Below are 14,564 nucleotides of genomic sequence, written 5' to 3'. Positions count from 1 at the left end.
ATTTATATAAATGTTAAATATTCATTTAAACAAAAACTGCAATAACAGTACTGAAAGAATGAGGGGCAAACCAAAGTGTCTGAGGACAGTTTTGGAGGAGCATAATAGCCAGTACAGAATGTCTAAAATGGGGCCCGGCCCGGTGGCTCACGCCTGTAATCCCGGCACTTTGGGAGGCTGAGGCGGGCGGATCATGAGGTCAGGAGATCGAGACTATCCTGGCTAACACGGTGAAACCCCGTCTCTACTAAAAACACTAAAAAATTAGCCGGGTGTTGTGGCGGGTGCCTGTAGTCCCAGCTACAGGCTGGGGCAGGAGAATGGTGTGAACCCGGGAGGCAGAGTTTGCAGTGAGCCGAGATCGCGCCACTACACTCCAGCCTGGACGATAGAGCGAGACTCCGTCTCAAAAAAAAAAAAAAAAAAAAAGAAAAGAAAAGAAAAGAAAATGTCTAAAATGGGAGAAAGGGAATTAAAAATAACAAAAGTATATATGTGTGTTACTCAGAAGTATGAAGTATAGATGTAAAGGGCAGAAAAAACAACTAACAGCTGTCAAAGGTGCCTGCCTGTAGTCCTAAGTACTCAGGAAACAGAGGTAGGAGGATCATTTATGCCCAAAAATTTGATGAGCAACATAGCAAGACCCTATTCTAAAAAAAATATAAATAAAAATAAGAGCTGTCAAGTAGACTTTGAGAAGTAGGAATCAGCTGCAGAATAAGAAACCGACTTGACAGAACATAGAAAAACTAAACAGAAGCCATCTGGAAAAAGAAAAACTAGAGAAAGAATTATATATTTTTTTTCTTTTTTTCTTTTTTGGAGACAGAGTCTCGCTCTGTCACACAGGCTGGAGTGCAGTGGCACAATCTCTGCTCACCACAACCTCTGCCTCCAGGGTTCAAGCAATTCTCCTGTCTCAGCCTACCGAGTAGGTGGGACTACAGGCGCTGCCACCACGCCCGGCTCATTTTTGTATTTTTAATAGAGATGGATTTTCACCATATTGGTCAGGCTGGTCTCTCGGCCTCCCAAAGTGCTCAGATTACAGACGAAGAATATTTTTAAGAAGGGCAAAAGCACATGTGAGGGAGTAGAAAAATGGCAAAACAAGAGAAGACTAACAAATGAAAGCACAATGGAAGACTAGAAAGATATGATATACAGACGCATCATCACACTCCAAAACTCCGACATTCTAGAAAGCATGGGCAGTTCACAGATGGCCAGCCTCTGCCAAACTGGGGGAGAATACTAACCTCTTCATATTCTTCACAGCCACTGCCTCTTCTCCCTCCATTCTTTACCTTCTATCCAAAGCACCCTGTTTTGTCATTTCACTCAAACCTAACTTCACAGAATAGCTTCACATGTTCCAGTTACTCACTAGTTAATCCATATTCCGCTGAAATCCCCAGGTTCTAATGTAAATGACTTTCAATTTGGGGGAAAAAAAAGACTCTAAGTGTAAGAGAGGTGCCATAATAACCAATCGTCAAAATGTTGCCACCACTCCACTTTATTTAATGGAGAAGTTATGCAGTTGAAAGAACATTCTAACTTCTGTCTAGACCAGTGGTTTTTAATCTTTTGGAAGCCAAGGTCCCCACTAAGAATCTCAGAAAGGCTCTAAACATGCTTTTTTTTTTTTTTTTAAGCTTGTTTAAAAAAAAAAAATCAGGCTGAGCAGAGTGGCTCACACCTGTAATCTCAGCATTATTTACATGTAAAGAGGAAAAATACCCTTAAAACATCTGTGGAAAAGGTTAAAAATTGCAAGCCATACTAACGATTTGTAAGAACTTTAGAATTTTTTTTTTTAAGCAAAGGCAGCTACCAAAGTCTTCTGGGCGGGGATGGGGGCGAGGGAGGTGAGTATGAGGAGTGGAGTGGAGCTGGACCCTTACAAAGGGACAGCGACAAACACCTCATACTCAAAACAAGGGGACTTTCCGTGTCATTTGCGCCGTCCGGCCATTGCAAATGTCCGCGCTGAGATGCCTACCTTGTCACTCGACGCAGCCGCCAAAGCTCACCCGGAGCTGCGTCAGTCCCCACTGGGTTCCTCCAGGCCAAGGAGGTACGACCTCCGCCGCAGCATATAAAGTAAATGTCCAGGAGATGGGAAGAAACCCGCCGATACAGCACCCGGGTGCCTAAGCCCCCGAGAACCAGGCTGCGCGGGTACTACGGGGCCAGAAAGCCCGGGCCAGGACGGGCCCAGGAGCGAGCACCGTCGGGAACAAGCGTCGGGAACAAGCCGGGAGAAAGAGGAAGCGCCGGCGCCAAAGGTCTCCCGCCCGCCGCGGTCCCCCCAGGACTCTTCCTGCGCTCGCAAGTGCCACGCCGCCCACAGGACTGCGCCAGCCGGCCGGCGCCTCAACAGAGCCCGCCTGGGAGCAGCGCCCGTCGGGAGCCATGACGCCTGAGCCATCGAGGCCGCCGCCGGGCCAGGTCGAGGCCGCCGCCTCAACAGAGCGCGCCAGGGAGCAGCGCCCGTCGGTAGCCATGACGCCTGAGCCATCGAGGCCGCCGCCGGGCCAGGTAGAGGCCGCCGCCTCAACAGAGCGCGCCAGGGAGCAGCGCCCGTCGGTAGCCATGACGCCTGAGCCATCGAGGCCGCCGCCGGGCCAGGTAGAGGCCGCCGCCTCAACAGAGCGCGCCAGGGAGCAGCGCCCATCGGGAGCCATGACGCCTGAGCCATCCAGGCCGCCGCCGGGCCGGGTCAAGGCCGCCGCCTCAACAGAGCGCGCCAGGGAGCAGCGCCCGTCGGGAGCCATGACGCCTGAGCCATGGAGGCCGCCGCCGGGCCGGGTCGAGGCCGCCGCCTCAACAGAGCGCGCCAGGGAGCAGCGCCCGTCGGGAGCCATGACGCCTGAGCCATCGAGGCCGCCGCCGGGCCGGGTCGAGGCCGCCGCCTCAACAGAGCGCGCCAGGGAGCAGCGCCCGTCGGGAGCCATGACGCCTGAGCCATCGAGGCCGCCGCCGGGCCGGGTAGAGGCCGCCGCCTCAACAGAGCGCGCCAGGGAGCAGCGCCCGTCGGGAGCCATGACGCCTGAGCCATCGAGGCCGCCGCGGGGCCGGGTCGAGGCCGCCGCCTCAACAGAGCACGCCAGGGAGCAGCGCCGGTCGGGAGCCATGACGCCTGAGCCATCGAGGCCGCCGCCGGGCCGGGTCGAGGCCGCCGCCTCAACAGAGCGCGCCAGGGAGCAGCGCCCGTCAGGAGCCATGATGCCTGAGCCATCGAGGCAGCCGCCGGGCCAGGTCGAGGCCGCCGCCGCCCGGCCAGGTCGAGGCCGCTGCCTCAACAGAGCGCGCCAGGGAGCAGCGCCCGTCGGGAGCCATGATGCCTGAGCCATCGAGGCCGCCGCCGGGCCAGGTCGAGGCCGCCGCCGCCCGGCCAGGTCGAGGCCGCTGCCTCAACAGAGCGCGCCAGGGAGCAGCGCCCGTCGGGAGCCATGACGCCTGAGCCATCGAGGCCGCCGCCGGGCCGGGTCGAGGCCGCCGCCTCAACAGAGCGCGCCAGGGAGCAGCGCCCGTCGGGAGCCATGACGCCTGAGCCATCGAGGCCGCCGCGGGGCCGGGTCGAGGCCGCCGCCTCAACAGAGCACGCCAGGGAGCAGCGCCGGTCGGGAGCCATGACGCCTGAGCCATCGAGGCCGCCGCCGGGCCGGGTCGAGGCCGCCGCCTCAACAGAGCGCGCCAGGGAGCAGCGCCCGTCGGGAGCCATGATGCCTGAGCCATCGAGGCCGCCGCCGGGCCAGGTCGAGGCCGCCGCCGCCCGGCCAGGTCGAGGCCGCTGCCTCAACAGAGCGCGCCAGGGAGCAGCGCCCGTCGGGAACCATGATGCCTGAGCCATCGAGGCCGCCGCCGGGCCAGGTCGAGGCCGCCGCCGCCCGGCCAGGTCGAGGCCGCTGCCTCAACAGAGCGCGCCAGGGAGCAGCGCCCGTCGGGAGCCATGACGCCTGAGCCATCGCGGCCGCCGCCGGGCCGGGTCGAGGCCGCCGCCTCAACAGAGCGCGTCAGGGAGCAGCGCCCGTCGGGAGCCATGATGCCTGAGCCATCGAGGCCGCCTCCGGGCCAGGTCGAGGCCGCCGCCGCCCGGCCAGGTCGAGGCCGCTGCCTCAACAGAGCGCGCCAGGGAGCAGCGCCGGTCGGGAGGCATGACGCCTGAGCCATCGAGGCCGCCGCCGGGCCGGGTCGAGGCCGCCGCCTCAACAGAGCGCGCCAGGGAGCAGCGCCCGTCAGGAGCCATGACGCCTGAGCCATCGAGGCCGCCGCCGGGCCAGGTCCAGGCCGCCGCCGCCCAGCCAGGTCGAGGCCGCCGCCTCAACAGAGCGTGCCAGGGAGCAGCGCCCGTCGGGAGCCATGACGCCTGAGCCATCGAGGCCGCCGCCGGGCCAGGTCGAGGCCGCCGCCTCAACAGAGCGCGCCAGGGAGCAGCGCCCGTCGGGAGCCATGACGCCTGAGCCATCGAGGCCGCCACCGGGCCGGGTCGAGGCCTCCGCCTCAACAGAGCGCGCCAGGGAGCAGCGCCCGTCGGGAGCCATGACGCCTGAGCCATCGCGGCCGCGGCCGGGCCGGGTCGAGGCCGCCGCCTCAACAGAGCGCGCCAGGGAGCAGCGCCCGTCGGGAGGCATGACGCCTGAGCCATCGAGGCCGCCGCCGGGCCGGGTCGAGGCCGCCGCCTCAACAGAGCGCGCCAGGGAGCAGCGCCCGTCGGGAGCCATGACGCCTGAGCCATCGAGGCCGCCGCCGGGCCGGGTCGAGGCCGCCGCCTCAACAGAGCGCGCCAGGGAGCAGCGCCGGTCGGGAGCCATGACGCCTGAGCCATCGAGGCCGCCGCCGGGCCAGGTCGAGGCCTCCGCCGCCCGGCCAGGTCGAGGCCGTCGGTCTCTTCGAGATCCACTCACCTTTCGAGGCGACGGGGCGGAGCCCTGCACGGAGGCGACGTACCGCTCCCCGTAGGCCTTGCTGCAACTCATCGCGCCACCAACCTGGCTCCCGAGACGCGTGAAACCAGCGCTCAGCCCCGCAGCAGTCGCCAATTCCAACAGGAAAGCGCCTGAAAGCCACTGACTCCGCGTAGCCGGCGGAGGACCACTGTGACGAACTTGTGTCCTGCGTCAACAGTGTGTGGAACGTTGGCGACCTCGGCGCTCGAGCTGCACTCCGCTGGGCTCTTGGCAGCACCCTGTGCTCTGAGGGTGTCTTGCCCGCCGGGCGCCGTGGCTCACGCCTGTAATCCCAACACTTTGGGAGGCTGAGGCGGGCGGATCACTTGAGGTCAAGAGTTCAAGACCAGCCTGGCCAACATGGTGAAAGCCCATCTCTACTAAAAATACAAAAATTAGCCAGGTGTGGTGGCGGGTGCCTGTAGTCCCAGCTATTTGGGAGGCTGAGGCAGGAGAATCGCTTGAACCCAGGAGGTGGAGGTTGCAGTACGGTGAGATTGCCCCACTGTACTCTAGCCTGGATGACAGGGCAAGACTCCATCTCAAAAAAAAGAAAAAAAAAAAAAAAAAAAAAAAAAGACTAAACTGTGATTTGAGGCACCTGAGGAACTAAGAGCCCAGGAAGAAAGGACAGTAATGAAAAAGCCAACAAATGAGACCAGTATTTAGTGGTATTTCCCCTATAGGCAATTATTTATTCAAAAATACAGGAACAGCATTTATTTGCTTAACTGCAGATATGCAAACAAAAAATTTAAATGGTCTTAGTTACTATCTACATGCAGATGCTTCCAATCTTAATCTCTAGTCATGACCACTGATCCTTTTTTGATTCCTTTAATTCAATTTATATATCTCTAAGTGAATATCTTGTCAACACTGACAATCAAGACTAAGATGTATTTATTCTATTCCAGATTCTACTCTAAAAGTCACCAGGAAAAATTCAGCTCCACTGGTCCTGGCTCTAAGTCTACTAGCAAAATCTTCCAGAGAAGTGGAAAAGCCATCAGCCAATGTGTTAGACTATCATTTCCATGACCTTACACCTATCAAAAAGGCACTATTACCAGGCTTATAGAATTCTAAAAAAGTTGGAAACCATTTTCCATTATAAAAGAAATTCTTCCAAATCACACAAAACACTCTGACACTTCTCCAATTCCCCCTATCATGGGGCTGGCAGCAGCCGCTTTGCGTCCTGAATGTCATGACAGTGATGATAACAGTAATGATGATAACAGCAATGATGAAGTCTCACATTTAAAATTTTCAAGTCACTCATCACATCCCAAGTCACTCCCTTCATTACCTTTTATTTATACTGGAGTCATCCTGTGTGCCTCAGTCAGACCATTTTGTATGTACAATGACCGTAAGTAGATCAACCAAACTTTTTGGATGATGTCAACTATTTAAGGCTTTTTAAAAATATAAGGTACTTGAGAATTCATTTTTTCCCCAGCTGGTGTAAGAGATAAACAATTTGAACTTGTCAGAACATCATATCATTTGAATAGGAGGCTTAAATTTTTAAAGGCCAGAAAAATGCTAATGAGATTAGACATGATCTATTTTTTTCTAGACACTGGCACCTTTTGCACTTCAATTAGATATCCAGACACGCCCATAACTTAGCAGTCATAGGTAATGTTGTCGGAAAAAGAGTATGAGGTGGGTTGGTTGTACAAGAAGAACAGGTTAGAATTTGCTTTCTTCTGAGCTTAAGTACTAAAGTAAAAAGCAGGTAGATTCATCATCAGGAAGAATGTAGGCAGCTAATCTGAGAAGTAAAAGACTATAAAAATAAGAGAAACAAATGAAAATTTAGCTTTAACTGAGAGCTGATGAACTTAGGAGACTCAACATTGCTTTGCTAAATAGTGATATTAAAATATTGCTAGACAAATTTTTCTTAAGTGTAGGATTTAATTTGGAACTGAGTAGGAGCAATACTACAATATGACATCATCAGTATTTGCCCTAATCCCTACCACAAAAAGATGACTGTAAAGGAAGAACTCTTAAAAAACTGCTTGGCCCTGCAGTAATGCTTCCCTTTCAAATCGGTAACTTCCTCCACCATGCATTACTTGGAAGATGCAGTAATTTTAATTACTGAAAGGACCATCTCAAATCATCTTTAGTCACAACAAACTGTAAACATTTATAGAGCAATATATTTGTAAAATGTATTTTATATTGGGGAAGTATGATACAATACAGAAATCATTGAAAGCAAGATACCATGACCAAGCAATTAACCATCAATTATTCAATTTTAATTTAATATATAATAGATCTGAGGCACTGCCTATAAAGTGGAAGATATAATTATAATACTACAGACGTCATTCCAGCTTTCCAGTTGCTTATGGTCCAGCAGGGAGGATGCACATGGGAAAAATAATAACTAATGACAAATGTGATGAGTCTTAACAAAGAAGAAGAGCATATTGCAAGGGAATGTAATTCACTCCAGGGTTAGTAAAGACATTATTTAGGAAATAATGTTTAAACAGAGACTTATGAGATGAGTATTACCCAATCAAAAATAAAAGACAGCTTTCTAGGCCAAGAACACAACATGTGAAAGGTTGTTGATAATGCAAGAGCACATGTGAAGCACAGAAAACATTCTGTGTGGCTAGAGAATAGAGAAGACAGAGAAGTGCTGAACAAAATGAGGCTGGAAGGGTGGGCTTTGAATTTGGGATTTTATCAGATTAACAAGGAACCGTTGAAAGATTTTAAGCAAGGCTAGATTTAAGCATAGTTACATTAGCCTTTTAAAAAAATCTGGTTTTAGTTCAAATTCTGCAACTAATTTCCTCTGTCTATTTCAATGTATCCATTAGGACAATGAGATTTAACATGCAGTTTGCAGATCCTCCCTTCTCTGGGTCACCTGAAAATAAGCCACAAACAAAGGAATGAAATTGTTGATGAAAAGGGAAGAGGCAAGACTCCATATGAAGAATACAACTGACTCACCTGTCTGTACATGCCTCTGTGTGTGTGTTTTATATTGGTGCTGGTGAAGATAGTTCTTTATGCTGATGCTTAATAAGGTGAAATGTGTCTATTTTCTTCCATTGGCCCAGGCACAGATGCGATTATAATTGCTAAGATTATTTGCATATTGGCTTTTAATGATGCATTTAAAAATATTCATCCCATTTACTGACTTATGCAGGCAATGTACTTTTGTAAATGTGGGCCAGCATCATGCTTAAATTCCCAAACCACTATTTATTTAAAACTCATCACTTCAGTTTTTATACCCTTTCTCCCCCATAAGGGAAAAAATATGATTCTGACTGTATAAGCACCAACTAAACAGAACACAAAACATGGCAGACGATAAAAACATATTTTCACAAATGAGACATGTCATTTTACCATCGAGGAGAGAAACAAAATAAGCTGGTTTTCAAGTTCCATATCTTGTGTGCTCCTTTCAGCTAAATGCCCTTACATCTGTAAGCCCTTGGGACAGGTTAAGGCTTTTATTATTATTTTAAAGTCTTCATAACTACAACCTAGCATCCAAAGTGAAACAGATGCTATTGGATATGAGTAGCATATGCAATGGAAATATTGACATTGCCTTCCCGACAGTCATGAGGGATAGACCATAGGCTTTTTGGTAACCTATATTTTCTAGGCCCAAAGCAGGGAATGAGATGGCAGGGAAATTCAGGGTAAACTCCAAATTTACATAAAGTTATAGAAGAATATAGATCATGAGTAGTGGCTAGCACCTTCCTGACTTCCAGAAAATGGTGGTGCCGATATTGAACAACAGTTTGGAGAAAATGTAAAATGTTTACATTTACATTTACAGTTTAGTCTTTGAACAACAGTTTGGAGAAAATGTAAAATGAAAATTTGTTAACGAACTTGTTTTTAAAAAGCACCTAGACTCCATATAAGAGTACTTGTCCTATGTTATTTTCATAAACTACATTTGTGATTGTTTTGGTGAGTCTTTTACTTTGAATCCCATTTGCATAAATTTGTTAATAGGGAGATCATAGAATCACTGATTAATTGCATCATACAGAGTTGTATGATGTGGATTAGATTTTGCCTAATCTAACCTCTCTATCTTAGAGATGGAGGGGGGTGGAGTGGGAGTTGGCAACAGGTGGTTACAGAGCCTTCAAATTCCTTGATGAGTAGCTCCTGCTGTCTGAAATCTCCTTCTGGTCAAGGGGACAACTGACATTCTACTTGGGTGACAGGATTTCTGAGTTTGAAGCTGAGAATGATCCAATGGATGCCACTTCAGGGCAAAACGAGTATCAATAACCAGGAAGATAATAAAACTAAAGAAGCAACCCAATGGCTTCTTCAGAGGCTGGCCCAGGTAAAGCATACAGGATGAAATATTAGGCTGTCAGAATAGACTGGGTGTGGAAGGCAGGGCTTGGCCCTTCTCTTCCTGGGGTAGAACTGTAACTAGCTCCAGGCACTATAACGGCAAGTCTGCATACTCAGCCCGAAGTGCAGAAAGAGCCTGGGTGGTTCAGAGTCCAACATAGACAACTGCAGAACAAATACAGGTCAGTGGGGCTGGAGGTAGCTTTGTGGAGTTCCGCAATAATGGATATTCAGAAGAGTCTATAGTATTGTAAAACTTGTGCTTCTTGGTAGAGCCAGCTACTCTGAATCTATTCTGAATCTATAAGAATCCTCCACTCCCATTCTCCACCATTTCCAACATCCACGGATACAGGAAGATTTAATAATCACTCGCACCAAGACTTACAGAGGCTTTTCTTAAACAGAGTTCTAACAATAATTTCAGCTTTGACCTTAGTTTATCCAGCAGGGTCTCTCCTTCATGCTTTCTCTAAGAACGTGATGTCATAAAAGAGACACTGCTGCTGGCTTTGGCTATTCTTTGGCAATCAGAGTGAATTATCTATATTTCCTGGGATTTCAAATGAGAAGGCTGTCAGAACAAGCTTCTGGGTAAGCAGGTATCTGCATAGTTCCAAGTGCCAGGTTGCATAAAGTAGAAAAAAAAAAACCAAAAAAAACAAAAAAAAAAAACAAAGCAATGATCAGATTTGGGAGAATTCCTGATGACCCAAAATCTAAGAATTCCTAAAGATATTTTGGTAAGATATTCACTAACAAAAGGGAGTAAAAGAAAACAAACCTAAAAGGAATAGCAAAGGCTTATTTTAAGCCAGAAATAAAAGTACAATATTCTCTCTTTGAGCAGCTATAAAAGTCATGTTCTATCTTTTGTATTAAATGGAATGAGAATCTTTTGTTTAAGTATTAATAAGATAAATTTGTTTTCAGCCCTTTCCTTTACCAATGTTTGACGCTGGAGATATGTTTACCTATTTTACCTATATTTTAATAGCTAGCAAATACCTATTTTCACAATGTAAGAGCTTACAAAATGTGAACATAAAATATGGAAATGTTTGAATCTTTGCAAACATCTGAGTAATTTAAGATTGAGGCATAAAATTGACTCATCTCTTTAGAAACCAAAGTGCAGCTTGGAGAGAAAATAAATTACCAGATATGAAACAGATATTTAATTTCATTCAACAGAACATACATCTTCACTTTATTTCAAAATAACCTCTTACAAATATTCATTACATAGAAAGAACTCCCCCATCCCGGTAATTGTTTCAAAGTACAATACCAAGGTTTTTATGAAGTGACATATGGTGAGGTGGGCGTAATTTTTCTAGGTGGAAATTTATTCCCAGTATGTCTCGGGAAATTTATGTTTTTAAGAGTCCCTTATTCTGAAAAACAACAAGAAATTCGAAAAACAGGAAAGACCAGCATTATATCCTATGAGAAATAATGCTTGGCAACCAACATAGAGATATCAGTTGGTTAAGGGATCCATTGACACTGAGTTGGAAGTGGACACAGAGTTAAGGACAATATTTTAGGAAGGGGACAGAGGAAAATGACCCTGCTCTGATTGTCTTGTTCATAGCGCTTGATCCACTCTTAAGGTTGGACATTCTTAAAATAAAACAAGTATTAATAAGTTGATATGCACTGTAGACTTTATCCTACGAGTTGTATTACAATAAGTAAGTATTGAAAGCAAAGTACGTGCTTAAGTTGCCAATTCTGATTCTGAGTAGTGCTTGTCAACTTGGGTTTTATGTGGCTCTGTTTGCTGGTGTTTTGCAGTGTTTGAGCATTCCTCATGGGCACTAGTTATCTAACAGAGGAAATACATGCAGAAAGACTATTGTGGAATACTGCTATTTAAAATCAGAAGCTTATCTAAAATCTGAATTGGACAGAGCAGTATCATTCTCAATGACAGAACCAAAACTAGGGCAAGAAAACAAAAATATTTTCATCTTTGAAAAATAAACGAATAAAACAAAATAGAAAACAAACCTCTTTTTGTTCTAGAATATTTATCACAAAGCAAGGTCAAAATTATTAGATAGAACAACTCAGGTTTTATTTTAAAACTTTATTTTAAGAATTACCTTTAAACAATGAATGTTTTTCTACTATCTTTCAATTTTAAATGATTTTTATTGATATTTGTTTTGTGTTAATATTTTTTCTTTTAATGCTTTCTATTTTCAAATGTCTGTGTAAAATTGAAGTTATTTTTACATGTTATCAAAATAATATAATGGTTCATAATAATGATAAACCATTTATTTTGATCACGTCTTTATAATAGAAAAGCCACCAACATTTTAGTTTTAAAAATATTTGTTGTTTATTAATATTGTAAACAATTATCACTGTAAAATATGGAAATTGTCTTATGAAAAATACAGTGCAAAATGATTTTAGGAGCTCCTGAACATTCCAGGGAATTCTGATGGCTTATTCCCAAATCCTGAAGATAAATATCTCTCAAATTAATATATTTTATGAATTTAGAAAACACTAGGTAAGAGGACTTTTTAAACTCTCGGTCTCATAATAAAGCATAAATTATTCTAGGATTCACATGAAAGAATAGCTACGAATTTAACTTAGTAGAATGAATTATAATTTCTTGAATTTAACAATTAAGGAAATATTCAAACTCACCAGATTGCCAAGTGCTTGCACACTCATTTCATTTAATACCTCATTTAAAAATAGTGTCTTCTCTGTGTCTGCATGGCCTAGACTTGGGACTCAGGACTGAAACAAAGAGAAAATGTCCCTGACCTGAAAGAGAAAATTGACGATAAAACAAGCATATCTACAACTATCTGATCTTTGACAAATCTGACAAAAACAAGCAATGGGGAAAGGATTCTTCCCTATTTAATAAATGGTGCTGGGAAAACTGGCTAGCCACATGTAGAAAGCTGAAACTGGATCCCTTCCTTACACCTTATACAAAAATTAATTCAAGATGGATTAAAGACTTACATGTTAGACCTAAAACCATAAAAACCCTAGAAGAAAACCTAGGTAATACCATTCAGGACATAGGCATGGGCAAGGACTTCATGTCTAAAACACCAAAAGCAATGGCAACAAAAGCCAAAATTGACAAATGGGATCTAATTAAACTAAATAGTTTCTGCACAGCAAAAGAAACTACCATCAGAGTGAATAGGCAACCTACAAAATGGGAGAAAATAAGTAAGTATTGAAAGCATATGAACAGACACTTCTCAAAAGAAGACATTTATGCAGCCAAAAAACACATGAAAAAATGCTCACCATCACTGGCCATCAGAGAAATGCAAATCAAAACCACAATGAGATACCATCTCACACCAGTTAGAATGGCAATCATTAAAAAGTCAGGAAACAACAGGTGCTGGAGAGGATATGGAGAAATAGGAACACTTTTACACTGTTGGTGGGGACTGTAACCTGGTTCAACCATTGTGGAAGTCAGTGTGGTGATTCCTCGGGGATCTAGAACTAGAAATAGCATTTGACCCAGCCATCCCATTACTGGGTATATACCCAAAGGATTATGAATCATGCTGCTATAAAGACACATGCACACGTATGTTTATTGCAGCACTATTCACAGTAGCAAAGACTTGGAACCAACCCAAATGTCCATCAATGATAGACTGGATTAAGAAATTGTGGCACATATACACCATGGAATACTATGCAGCCATAAAAAATGATGAGTTCATGTCCTTTGTAGGGACATGGATGAAACTGGAAACCATCATTCTCATCAAACTATCGCAAGGACGAAAAACCAAACACTGCATGTTCTCACTCATAGGTGGGAATTGAACAATGAGAACACATGGACACCGGAAGGGGAACATCACACTCCAGGGACTGTTGTGGGGTGGGGGAGGGGGGAGGGATAGCATTAGGAGATATACCCAATGCTAAATGATGAGTTAATGGGTGCAGCACACCAACATGGCACATGTATACATATGTAACAAACCTGCACATTGTGCACATGTACCCTAAAACTTAAAGTATAATAATAATAAAATTTAAAAAAAAAGCCTTAAGAAGTTCTAGGAGTTGACATTTCAGAAGTCACAGTTTGTCTTAGTCCATTTTGTGTTGCTATAACAGAATATCTGAGGCTGGATAATTTATGAAGACAAAAGGTTTATTTGGCTTGTGTTTCTGGTGGCTGAAAAGCCCAAATTGGGCAGCTGCATCTGCTGAGGGCCTCATACTGTTTCAACTCATGGAAGAAAGGAGAAGAAAGGAGAAGGAAGGAGGGAAGGAAGGAAGGAAGGAAGGAAGGAAGGGTGTCCTAAAAGACCAAACATGAGAAGGAACAAACTGCTCTTGCAATAACTAATCCAGTCTCATGAGAGGGAAAACTTACTCCCCTGGAAGGGCACTAATCTATTCATGAAGGATCCACTCTAATGACCCAAACACCTCCCACAAGGCCCCACTTCCCAACACTGCCACATTGGGAATCACATTTCAACATGAGTTTCAGAGGGGATGAACTTGACCCATAGCACTGTGGCTGTCATTATTGTTCAGCTCTTGCCACCTTTGGTGCATAACACACTGACTTATAACTATTCATTTCATATGACGCCTTTGATAAAATCTATTCATAGATCTCTTGGTTCAGAGACTTATATAGTATCTTATTTTGGTAAAGGTTCTAGGTTATATGGAGTTGGGGGCCACTAACTCAACCTTGATTTGAGCTTAGATTGCAAATATTCCCAAGCATAATCTGGTATACTGTAAAATATGGCCAGATATTTCCCCAGACATTGTATTATAATGAGCCATTCTTGCACCTCCCAACAAAGGAGGGTCTCTTTTTCCTCCCCCTGGAACCTAGGCCAAGTTTGTGATTTACCTTGCTAAAAGAATGCAAAAAAAGTGACGTTGGAAGGCTTGAAGTTTCCATTTTGCCCTCTTGGAACCCAGCTGCCATGTGAGAAAGCCTAGTCTGCTGTAAAGGCCATGGAAAAGAGGACAGAGGCACTTCTGTTCACAGCCTAGCCAGCTGTCAGACATGTAAGCGAGGCTCTCTTCTAAGAACTAACCCTCAGCAGGATTGCCAACTGACTCCACGTGCATGAAAGAGAACCCCAACCGTGGCTCAGCTGGGCCCAAACTGCAAATCTGAGAGTTTTGGAGGAAACAAATGGTTGTTGTTTTAACATCCTAAGTTCT

General features: G+C 46.0%; 1 protein-coding gene and 2 long non-coding RNA genes across 10 annotated transcripts in view, besides 1 other annotated feature; 1 reads left to right on the top strand and 2 right to left on the bottom strand.

The window, feature by feature from the left end:
• Nucleotides 1-5,110, bottom strand: part of RGPD4 (RANBP2 like and GRIP domain containing 4) — a 65,653-nt gene extending 60,543 nt beyond the window's left edge. For all 8 annotated transcript variants that reach the window (XR_922911.4, XR_007073111.1, NM_182588.3 and 5 more), the window contains exon 1: nt 4,917-5,110. Coding sequence is in view for 6 of the 8 variants with exons in the window: in NM_182588.3 (NP_872394.2) it covers nt 4,917-4,988 (72 nt within the window). In the remaining 2 variants the exon portion in view is untranslated. The remainder of the gene's footprint in view (nt 1-4,916) is intronic.
• A 122-nt stretch (nt 5,111-5,232) lies between these two features.
• RGPD4-DT (RGPD4 divergent transcript) lies at nt 5,233-8,938 on the top strand. Its single transcript, NR_024439.1, has 3 exons — nt 5,233-5,321; nt 5,876-6,333; nt 7,817-8,938. It is a non-coding gene; the product is annotated as an RGPD4 divergent transcript (long non-coding RNA).
• Nucleotides 9,335-9,629: an enhancer, noted in NCBI's record as "tiled region #10849; HepG2 Activating DNase matched - State 8:EnhW". NCBI's record gives its function as "activates a minimal TATA promoter and a strong SV40 promoter by Sharpr-MPRA in HepG2 cells {active_cell/tissue: HepG2}" and the evidence as "EXISTENCE:reporter gene assay evidence [ECO:0000049][PMID:27701403]".
• The window catches only part of GACAT1 (gastric cancer associated transcript 1), a 68,018-nt gene continuing 63,326 nt past the window's right edge, over nt 9,873-14,564 (bottom strand). The window contains exons 4-5 of the long non-coding RNA NR_126370.1: nt 12,018-12,140; nt 9,873-9,950 (exon numbers count right to left, since the gene is read on the bottom strand). This is a non-coding gene — a long non-coding RNA (gastric cancer associated transcript 1). The remainder of the gene's footprint in view (nt 9,951-12,017; nt 12,141-14,564) is intronic.

The sequence above is a fragment of the Homo sapiens genome, chromosome 2, assembly GCF_000001405.40.
Source record: "Homo sapiens chromosome 2, GRCh38.p14 Primary Assembly".
NCBI classification, from domain to species: Eukaryota; Metazoa; Chordata; class Mammalia; order Primates; family Hominidae; genus Homo; species Homo sapiens.
This window is presented reverse-complemented; position numbering and strand designations above follow the sequence as displayed.